Source organism: Homo sapiens, chromosome 16 (assembly GCF_000001405.40).
Source record: "Homo sapiens chromosome 16, GRCh38.p14 Primary Assembly".
Classification (NCBI taxonomy): Eukaryota; Metazoa; Chordata; class Mammalia; order Primates; family Hominidae; genus Homo; species Homo sapiens.
Window position 1 is genome coordinate 80884025 of NC_000016.10, and position 12082 is coordinate 80896106.

The 12082-nt window shown below is 40.8% G+C and overlaps 1 long non-coding RNA gene across 2 annotated transcripts in view; it reads right to left on the reverse strand.

Moving 5' to 3' along the window:
- The window catches only part of ARLNC1 (androgen receptor regulated long noncoding RNA 1), a 63862-nt gene extending 55290 nt beyond the window's left edge, over positions 1–8572 (reverse strand). For both annotated transcript variants that reach the window (NR_131948.1, NR_131947.1), the window contains exon 1: positions 8481–8572. This is a non-coding gene — a long non-coding RNA (androgen receptor regulated long noncoding RNA 1). The remainder of the gene's footprint in view (positions 1–8480) is intronic.
- Positions 8573–12082: the final 3510 nt, after the last annotated feature.

Here is a 12082-nt window from a genome sequence, read left to right on the forward strand (position 1 = left end):
ACCTCAAGGTATCTGATGGTGCCACTCCACATCACAAACATGGGAAAGGGGCCAGGTTTGAGAGTAGGAGGGCAAGGACGGACATAGAGCATGAGCTTAGTTTTGAACTCATGGGTTTATTTGGAGGTGTCTATAAGATAGCCATGCGGAGATGAAGAAAAAGCGGTTGGGTATTTGGTCTTGAGCTCAAAAAAGCGTCGGGAAAGGAAATTTTAATTTAGGGACCATCAGCTCAAACTGGTCACTGAAGTCACACAAGTAGATGAGGTATCCTAGAGGGAATGGAGTGTGAAGATAAAAGAAACCAGAACCGAGACTTGAGGAACTACAAAATTTAAAGACTAAGTTGGAGAAAGATGTTTGTGCAAAGACAACCAAGGAGGAGAATCTGGAAAGGGTAGGAGTAACAGCTACGGGGTATAGAGTTTGAGAAGCCACAGCAAGAGGCAAAGGAGGTCACCTGTCCTCAGTGCTACAGAGAGACCAGGGAAGATGAAGACCAAAAAACAAGATTATAAAAGAACTATTTTTAAATAAGGAAGAATATTATTCAACCTTTGGTTGGTATATTAGCCAGCTAGGGCTGCCATAAAATATACTGCAGATTGCATGGCTGTAACAACAGAAATTTATTTTCTCACAGTTCTGGAAGCTGGTAAGTCCACGATCAAGGTTCCAGCAGGGCTGGGTTTCTGGAGAGGGCTCCCTTCCTGACTTGCAGATGGCTGCTTTGTCCCACCCTGGTCTTTCCTCTGAGTAAGCATGGAGAGACAGAGCAAGCTCTCAGGTAGCTCTTCTTGTAAGGGCACGAATCCTATGGATCAAGACCCCACACTTATGATCTGATTTAGCCTTAATTATCTCCTTATAGGCACTGTCTCCAAATGCAGTCACATTGAGGGTTGGGAATTCAATATATGAATTTCAGGGGGACACAAATGAGTCCATAGCAGATGGAAAAGTCCCTTCTAATCATGAGGGGTGAATAAAAGGTAAAAATCAAAGCAGTCCCGGTGTAGTGGCTCACGCCTGTAATCCCAGCACTTTGGGAGGTAGACACAGGCAGATCACTTGAGGCCACGAGTTCAAGAGCAGCCTGGCCATCATGGTGAAACCCCATCTTTACTAAAAATACAAAAATTAAATGGTCATCGTGGCGTGCGCCTGTAGTCCCAGCTACTCAGGAGACTGAGACAGGGGAATTGCTTGAACCTGGGAGGCAGAGGTTGCAGTGAGCAGAGATGGTCCAGCCTGGGCGATAAAGTGAGACCCTCACTCGAAAAAAAAAAAAAAAATGGGAAAACATTGAAATATGTGGCCATATAAAAATGTTAACTTTCTACGTTTTATAACTTCATAACAGAATCATAACATGTTCTGGTTTTAGTGTTCTACTGTGTAACACATATCCCCCAAACTTAGTAGCTTACAAGAATTTTATTGTGAGCACATATTCTGTGGATAATTATTTTGGACTGGGCATAACAGGATTGGCTTGTTTCTGCTCCATGACATCTGGATCTTCAGTGAGAATACTCAAAGGCTGCATATGACTTGATAGGTAGGGGCTGGAATCATGTAAAGGTGGCTTTGTTCACGTCTCGCTGGTGATGCTGCCTGTGGCTGGGATCACAGCTGGGAATGTCACAACTAGAATGCCTACACATGGTCTCTCTGTATAGTCTGGGCTCCTTACAGCATGGCCACCTCAGAATAGTCACAATTCCCATATGGCAGATTAGGGTACCACAGGAGAGTGCTCCAGCGAACAAGGCAGAAGCCGCACACATTTTCTTACCTAGGCTTAGAAATTACAAGTTGAGTCTCAGGCCTGCTCAGATTCAAATGGAGGTGACATCAACTCACATCTCTAGGGCAGAAGTGTTAAGACCATCTTTGGAAAATACAATCTGCCACGTAAGGTAAATGAAAAACATGACAATTTAAAAAGTGAAACAAATGACAAATAGGTAAATAAACCTTTTATAATATATAAAAAACCACAAAAAAATGTTGACGTCACCAATAAAAAATTAGAAAAGGACATAAACTGGCAAGCCACTCAAGAAGAAAACAAATAATTATATGTTCATTTTGGCAATTTATCCAATGAAAATAATTATGTGCACAAGGAATTAGATACATCCATATTTACTGTAGCAAGGCAATTAATAGCCAAAAATTTTTTAAAGAATTTCCAACAATAACTGATGAAATAAACTTTTTCCATCCCTACAATAGGAAGCCTATTCAGCCGTTAAAATAGAAAAAAAGTCAATGTTATAGAAAGATATTCATAGTATTTTACTGAGGGAAAAATAGCAGAATATAAAATATGATTTCATAGAAGACATATGTAGAAAAAAATAAGAATTATATAAACCAAAATATAAATGGTAACATACATTGATTTTTTTCTTTTTGCTTATTGTAATTTCAAATTTTTCTACAATAAAAGGTATTGCTTTTATTTTCACAACAAACAAAATTCTTCTAAAACATATTAATGAAATAAAATAAAAATAAGAGTTTTATCACAAATAAGTAATTCAAAACAAAATTGTTTAAGACTGCCAAAATATTATACAATGCTATTGGATAATTATGTTAATCAATTTTTATTGTTTTAATCCCAAAAACAATAAAAAAATAGGGGTGTGTGTGTGTGTGTGTGTGTGTGTGTGTGTGTGTGCATGTGCATGGCTGAGGGTGGCAGGGGATAGAAGTTCAGAGGACAGAAAGGGGTAGGTAAAGCCAGATTGATAAGACGTGCTAATTGTTGAAGCTGGGTAATGGATTCACATGAAATTATTATATTTACCTGTATGTATTTTTGAAAAATCCCATAATAATCTAAAGAAACTCTAAGAGAGCTCTGGGATGAGAGAAAAACTGATAAATATTCAAAGGAAGGAATATTTCTTTTGACAGTCGAGCCAACTTTTGAGTAAAATGTTGCTTTACAATTGAAAAAATAAAAATGAAAAACACTAGATGCAAAAAGCCTGGAAGTAAACCATACCTGTTTCAAAATAGGAACACAGTTAAGTATATTTTTGGAATTACTGTCAGCAGGCACATATTTTGCTTATGAAGACTATGAAAAAGTAAACTAATTCAACTACTCAGACTTTCTCTCCCATCCACCTAAAAGTGTCCTACAGCGATGGTTTTATGTGTCAACACTTGACTAGGCCATGGACTGCCGAGCTAGCTGGTTAAACATTATTTCTGGGTGTGTCTACAAGGGTGTATCTGGGAGAGATTAGCATGTTCCTCAATGTGGAGGCGGTATCATCCAATCTTTTGAGGGCATATATAGAACAAAATGGCAGAGGAAGGTTGAATTTGCCCTCTCATGCTGACTGCTTAGCTGGGACATCAGTCTTCTCCTGCCCTCAGCACTCCTGGTCCTCCTGCCTCCAGACTAAACTGGAAGCTACAGTGTTAGCACTGTCTCTCTCTGGCTCTCAGATCTTTGAACTACACTCTAGTTTGCCTGGATCTCCAACTCGTAGACGACAGATGGGATTTCTCATATAATTGGTTCTGTTTATCTAGAGAACCCTAACACAAATTTCTGTCTTAGATCAGGCTGCTATAACAAAATACCACAGACTAGGTGGTTTCGACAATATGAATTTTTTCTCACAGTTCTAGAGGCTGGAAGTCCAAAGTCAAGGCAGATCCAGTGTGTGGAGAGGGACCTGGTTTGCAGATGGCTGTCTTGTAGAGATCTGGTTTGCAGAGATAATAATCATCCCTGTTGTGTCTCTTCTTATAAGAGCACTAATCCCATTCATAGGGGCTCCACCCTTATGATCTAATTACCTCCCAAAAGCCCCACCTCCAAATACCATCACACTGGGGATTAGGCTTCAACATATGAATTTGGGGGGATACAAGCATTTAGTCCATACTACAAACCTTGTACTTTCATTACATCTAGTTTCATCTTTTTCTCTTCTGCTGAGTAATATCACATGGTTTCTCCCTCATATTTAAATCTTTACCTGTAAGTTTTCAGATAGTGTTTTTAAATACTTGAAAAAATAATGTTATTAAAGAAGAGTAATGTGTCCAGAATAAAATGCAGACCTGGCTACGCTGGAGAATTCTATAGAATTCTCAGAATTCTGCTTTTCTTGGCCATGACCTCATTCAAACTCAAATCTGGTATCTGGAGGTAAAAACTGATTCATTAATCTCTTTCCAAAGCTCTACTTAAATTATGTTCAAACTGTCCTATTCTCGTCAATTCAGAGGAAAAATGCAAATGACTAAAATGAAAAAATTGTTCAGCACTCAACTAATCAAAGAAATGCAAATTAAAACAAGGTAATATTTTTCATCTATCAAATTTGCAAATGTTTTTTAAATGCCAATATGAGATGTTGACAAAGGTGAGATACAACTCACATAATAGTGCTCACGGTAGCACAAACTGAAAAATGTATTCACAAAATAGAACAAGAGCCTTAAAAATAGCCATACCCCTTTGACCCCCTAAATTTTCTGCTAGAAATCTTTTGTAATAAAATAATGTGATCAAGGGTTATGTACAAGCCACCAGGTTCGGTGGCTCATACCTGTAATCCCAGCACTTCGGGAGAGTGAGGTGGGAGGATCGTTGGAGCTCAGGAGTTTGAGACCAGCCTGGGCAACATAGAGAGACCTCATCTCTACTAAAAATAAATAAAATAAAATAAAAAATTAGCCAGTCATAGGGGCACCTGCCTGTATTCCCAGCTACTTGGGAGGCTGGGGAAGGAATATCACTTAAGCCCAGGAGATGGAAGCTGCAGCGAGATCTGATCGTGCTACTGCACTCCAGCCTGGGCAACAGAGCAAGATCCTGTCTCAAAAAAAAAATCATGTATTATGCAAAAAAATTCAAAGCAGCAACATAATAACAAAAAAATTGTCAACATCCTACTGACAGTTGGGTCATGGTTTTCCAGTTCTTATCAGTAGAGTCCTACAGTTAAACACAGGGGGAACCAGCAGGGTGAGAAAGTGCTCAAGTTTTTAGGACTCTGAGCTTTTATCTATTTTATGTATTGAATTCCAGTTAAGATTCATAGCTCTTTTGTCTGTTTGTTTTGCTTTGTTTCTAGTAACTGTCAGTCTACCCTGACTAGAATGTAAGATCCATGAAGAACCTATCTATGAGTGATGTGCTCCCAGATTCTTGCTGTTTGTTTGTTTTTGGTTTTGTTTTTTTTTTTTTTTTTGAGACAGAGTCTCACCCTGTCACCTAGACTGGAGTGCAATGGTGCGATCTCGGCTCACTGCAACCTCTGCCTCCCGGGTTCAAGGGACTCTTCTGCCTCAGCTTCCCAAGTAGCTGGGATTACAGGTGCGCACCACCACGCCCAGCTAATTTTTTGTATCTCTAGTAGAGACGGGGTTTCACCATGTTGGCCAGGCTGGTCTCAAACTCCTGACCTCATGATCTGCCCACCTCTACCTCCCAAAGTGCTGGGACTACAGGCATAAGCCACCGTGCCCAGCCCAGATTCTTAAAACTAAGCACAGTGCTTGGCTCGTATGGCTTATATTAGGTATTCAATAAATAGCTGTTGTTTGCTGTAGATTTAAGTATTTTTTTCCTGATTAAAAATAAAGTTGAGCTTCATCTATTCATCCCTCCTCCCCCAACCCCTGGCAACTGCTACTTGGATCTGATCCAGTGGAGCACAGAGGATCTTGAGGGCAGTGAAATTACTCTGTGTGACACTATAATGGTGGATATATATGAGTACATGTTTGTCCAAACCCACAAAATGTACACCACAGAAAGCGAACCCTAAAGTAAACTATCAACTCTGGGTGATAACGACCTGTTGATGTAGGCTTATCAGTGGTAATAAACGAATCACTCTGGTTGAGGGGTGTTGATAGTGAGGGAAGGTATGGATTTGGGGGACAGGGGGCATGTGGGAAATCCCTGTACCTTCCACTTAGTAAACCTGAAACTGCTCTAAAAATAATAATAAAGTCTATTTTAAAAAGTTGAAAAGCATTATAATTAGGAGATTGACTAAAGACCATGAATTGGCAAATGATAGCCTGTGGGCCAAACCTGGCCACAGGCTGTTTTTGTAAATAAAGTTTTATTGGGACACAGCCACTCACACCCATTCATTTACATATCGTCTATGGTTGTCTCTGTGTTGCAACAGCAGAACTGGGTAGCTGCAACAGAAATTATGTGGCTCACAAAACTGTGAACCAGCACATCTCTTCCTACCTCTATGTTCAGGGACATCTCATTGGTAACTTGAAATCAGCAGTAGGATTATTTATACCATGGGAACTGGTAAATGCTACAAGTCAGGGCTTGATTTATTGTTTTGTTAGTTTTCTAGGCTTAAAAAAGTGAAGGTGAAAAATGTTAATTACACAGATTAAAATTAAGTGAATGTTGGGTCTGTAGGTATGATAGCATAAAAAATTAAGAAAATATTCTTCTAGTATTCAAAACTATTATCCAATTAGAAAAAGTAGTCACTCCTTATTACTGGCATACATATATTTTTGGTTGTTTCACCTTCATCTTACTAATTAACATAAAAGTAAATATCAACCAACATTTATGTTGGAATTACACTTGCTGGTCAATTGCAATAACAGGTTGGCTATAGACAAGAATTGGTTACAAATCAGCAAAGGCATCCTGCTATCAATTGGTTATACGGAATTTACAATGAAGAGTATTGCATACTTTATCATTATTTGTAAATTGTGTGTTACACATCCTTTAAATCAGCAATATTGATAGTAAACATCAAATAAATAGCATATACATACATACACTCTCCCAGGGAACTGGTTGTTAAACATTTACCAGCACACCTCTGCTGAAAAATATTTTTCAGTAGAAGGTTATCAAAATAAACGTGATTTGCAAATCTAGCCACAGCTGAAGCCATCAAAGAGGTAAAGGGACGGAGGCACAATGCAAAAATATGAAGGCAAAGTGGAAAAGTACCTCTTTCTAAGTAGGGCTAACAGGGAGTAAGCAACTGATGTTTTGTGCCCTATGTGGAGGGAAACTGTATGCTATTAATTGTTCATCTGTCACGTTCTGCCACATGCAGAGAAAGTAAGAAATTTGAGAACAAGAAGGTCAAAAGACTATCTCTATAATTAATTTAACAAGCAAATTAAGGTGCACACATTTCTAGAGGCTAAGACAGACAGAAGTGGATTCCTACAGCATTCCCCAGATTTTCTGAACCCTCTGCTATTCATCCAATAAACTGCACTCTTTCGTCCCTAATTTGATTTCCATTTAATGTGTTAAACCTGATTCCCTTGCATGTAAACAGTGCTTTATACTTTTCAAATATAATTATATTATTATCTCCCTTGATCCTCACAACAATTTTACGAAGTAGGAATGGCTAAGTTTCAAAGGGAAAAAAATTCTTAGGGAAAACTTAGGGTTTTGTGTGCTTAACCCTGGTTCTAAAGCCAAGCTCCAGAAAAACACTACTTTCAAATTGCCTGTATTTCTTTTGAATGCACTCATATCTGGTTCCTTAAACATTTCAGCACGGCTTGGTTTCTAAAGCACTTGCCCTTTATCATTCTTCCTAAGGAAGAAGACAAAATCAGCTGGTTATAATTAACAAAAGCACAACCATTCTTTTTTAAGGCCTGGCCTCTGCCTTTGTCGTGAAATCATCTGTCAGGTTAAGAGATCATCTCTTTTCTAGTCCTGGATGTTAATTTTCTTACTTAGTACAGATGCTTGTACACAGTAGGCGTGCAAGTAAGTTAGGTCGGAATGGTTTTCCCAGCCTACCTGGGGTTACATGAAAAGTATGACGCTAGAGGGAAGCTCTTCAGGACTTGTCCACGACTATACAGTTCCCAAGCAACCCTATAAAGAAGGGGAGTTCTTAGTCCCTGAGAAAATGAAGTGTTTACAGTTCCTTCGCTGAGGGAGACAAGGTGTAGGCAGAGAACAGAAAGAAGGAGAGAAAAACATGTATTGAATCTTTACTATACCTTCCAGGAACTTTCATAGGCTTTATCTACCAAATCTTCAAACAATCTGAAGAGGCTGCCATTTATCCCCATTTTACAGATGGAGATTCAGAGAGGTTAACTGTTTGATTAATAAGAAACTAGCTCCAGATGTATCTGTGTCTTCAGAGACCGTCCTTTACCTCTAAACCAGTGACTCTCAAAGTAGAGGACTCAACCAGCAGCAGCAGCAGCCGCACCTGGGAACTTCTTAGAAACGCAAATTCTCAGGGCTCACCCCAGCCCTGCTGAATCAGAAACTATAGGGGTAGGGTCCAACACTTGGTTATAACAAGCCCTCCAGGTTATTCTGATAAACACTAAAATGTGAGAGATTTCTCCCTGCTCTACTACACAGGTTGTATTAGTCAGTTTTCAGGCTGATGATAAAGACATACCCGAGACTGGGCAATTTACAAAAGAAGGAAGTTTATTGGACTTACAGTTCCACATGGCTGGGGAGGCCTCACAACCATGGCAGAAGTCAAGCATGAGCAAGCCACATCTTCTACGGAAGGCAGCAAACAAAAAGAAAGCTTGTACAACGCAACTCCCGTTTTTAAAACCATCAGATCTCGTGAGAACTATTCACTCTCACGAGAAACGGCTCAGGAAAGACCCGCCCCCATAATTCAGGCATCTCCCATTGGGTCCCTCCCATAACACGTGGGAATTATGGGAGCTACAAGATGAAATTTGGGTGGGGACACAGAGCCAAACCGTGTCACAGGTCAACAAAGGCTTTCTGTAAAGGGCCAGATAGAAAATATTTTCGGCTTTGAGGGCCAGATGGTCTGTTTTGCAACTACTCAAAGTCGCTGTTGCGCAAAAGCAGCCACCGACAATGCATAAATAAATGAGCATGACTGTGCTCCAATAAAACTTTAATGATGGACAATGAAATCAGGATGTTATATCATTTTCATGTGTCATGAAGTGTTACCTTTCTTTTGGCCTATGTCCCCCAATCATTTAAAAAAGCAAAAAGTCATTTTAATCCCAAGGGCTATACCACACCAGGCAGCAGGCTGGATTTGGCCCTCAGGCCATAGTTTGGCAAGCACGGAAACAAGACTACGCTACCTACTAAATGGAAACTTTTAAGCAGAGCAATGACGCAAAGACAGGACAATCTAATAGAAGGTAAAATGTTGTGAGTTACAAAATTGGCTATGGTCGGCTGGGCACAGTGGCTCACACCTGTAATCCCAGCACTTTGGGAGGCCGAGGCGGGTGGATCACCCGAGGTCCGGAGTTTCAGACCAGCCTGACGAACATGGAGAAACCCCATCTCTACTAAAAATACAAAATTAGACGGATGTGGTGGCGCATGCCTGTAATCCCAGCTATTTGGGAGGCTGAGGCAGGAGAATCACTTTAACCCAGGAGGCAGAGGTTGCGGTAGCACCATTGCACTCCAGCCTGCGCAGCAAGAGAAAAACTCTATCTTAAAAAAAAAAAAAAAAATTGGCTATGGTCCAATGGAGGCAGGCAGCTCATTTTGTTCTGACAATTAGAAAGGCTTACAATGAGGAGGTGACAATCTGTGTGGGCCTTGAATGATGAGTAGAAGTTCAACAGTAGAGACAATAGCTTGGGCAACAGGGTGAAGACTGGTGTATGCAGGGTACCCAGTCCAAAATGCCTGCTTCCACCCAAAATATTCCAACCTCTTGGGTTAAAAACGCTTTGGAAAATTATATTATGTAAAAAGTATGTCAATGCTCCTGTGAATACCAACCAAACTGAAGCGTCGAGAAAGGAACAAATTGCAACAACTGAAATCACAGCCTTACATGTGAAAATCATTATCGGTGATCTCGTCTCCTCTCCCTACAGACCAAGTGTTGGAGGGAAGGTGTCTTATTTCGCACAACAAATTATTTCTGGTTGCAAATCTGACTGTATGGTATATGCTCCCAAGTATCATACAATGCAAGAAATAATTCTCTTGAGATATTTCCTAGTTATACAAATTAGTTCCCTTGAGAATTGCTTGGTTTTTTTCCTAATTCCTTACATATCATCCAATTGAGTTGGTTATTTTCAAACACAAGAAATCCCCTTTAAGAGCATAAATTTCAGAGACATTGTTTTCAAGTTACACGTTTTCATTAGATTTGCTTTGATACCAGCTATTAAAAGGAAACGCAATCTGCTCTGGCAGTATTTCCCAACTTCATATAGCAGAGCAGTAAAGAGGCCAGGTTCCGCAGTCAAAGTCTCTGGGCTCAAAGCCCTGCTCTCCCACTTAAAAAGCTATTTGACCTTGACAAATTACTCATCTCAGAGCTTCTGTTTTCTTAAAAACAAAGTGGGAAAAAGTAATAGTAGCCACTTCTGGTTGTGTATGTGTTTGAAAATACAGAAAAATAGCTCAATATATTTTGTCCACCATTATTATTTCCCAGTGATCTCTTTCCTCCAAAACTAAACAAATATGCTTTTATTTTTTAAGCTAAAATTATATTCCCTTTATGCTACCACATGATACGGTGACAAGTTTGGGACAGAACCTGACAAATAAGATCGTTCTGCTCCCTCCCTCCACCACCTGGGCCCTGCAGGGATCAGAAACTGCTTACCAAGCTAGGGGAGGTAAAGGCAGAGAAACAGAGGCAAAATTGACCATACAGCAGCAGGCCCGCTGTCGGGAGCAGGGCAGAAGTTGCAGCTTTAGGAAGGTCTGGGGTTTGGATCCCTACATGGATGGGACACATCAATGACTGAAATGAGGGTTCTTTGGGATGTAAAGTGAACTGGGTACTCATATTATCTGAGACTGGCTGGAAAAGCTTCTAACCAGGGGCAAGAGAAGGACTCCTCTCGCAACGTGGGTAGGAGTGTGCAGAGGGGAGAATGAAATACAGTTGATTTGATCCCACTCTATGAGGGTCAATTACATATGTATGAGCATAGATTGCATGTCTGGAGTGGGCAGGGAGATCCATGGGAAGGACTCAGGCCTTAGAGACAAAAAGACCTGAAGCTCCACCACCCAGTAATCTGGTGGAGGGGAAGTTTTCTCAACTAAATACTGAGGACAAGGATTCGTGTGGTCATACCTAAGATGAGGGACACAGAGTTCTTTGCACCGTGCCTGTCATCCTGCAGACCAAAGAAACAACAGCTGCTCTTGGCATGAGTACCCATCTCCACTCCCATTGAGTGACCACTTGCAAAGTGACTTTCATATTCACGAACAGGCATACCAATTGCACTGAGTGCTTTGATCTGTTGAATTACAGCCCAGCACAGCCCACTAGTGTGGTCCCCCCACCCCCCAAGTGACATTGACATTGACATTGACCTTCCTTTGCTCATGACCATTCTCCCCTCAACCGACCTATTGGTCAGGAATGACAAGTTCCTAGGGCTTGGGGATGAGACGGAGAACACACCACCCCACCCCTGCTGGGTTCGACCTCCCAATTAGGTGCTCCACAACACCCACTACTTCTTTCTTAGAGCTACTCAGACTTTATTGCAATTGTCTCTTGAATTAAATGCATTCTCCATCCTGCGAATTCCTTCTGAAGATGGGCTGGATCTTTTATCCCTGGATCTTCACTGTCTAGCTTCTGGATTTCCCAAATGATTTAATGATATTATTCATTAAGATGTGAGAATAAACACCTTTTTAAAAAAACACATCAGCACACACTCTGTATAAATCAACATCTGTCATTGTAAGAGTTCCCACGGCTGGGTGCGGTGGCGCATGCCTGTAATCCCAGCACTTTGGGAGGCCAAGGTGGGCAGATCACGAGGTCAGGAGTTCGAGACCAGCCTGGCCAATGTGGTGAAACCCCCGTCTCTACTAACAATACAAAAATTAGCCAGGTGTGGTGGCACGCGCCTGTAGTCCCACCCAGCTACTCGGGAGGCTGAGGCAGAAGAATCACTTGAAACCGGGAGGTGGAGGTTGCAGTTAGCCAAGATGGCGCCACTGCACTCCAGCCTGGGTGACAAAGCAAGACCCCGTCTCAAAAAAAAAAAAAAAAAAAAGAGTTCCCACAAGGCCATCACCTCTAAGCAAATGTTT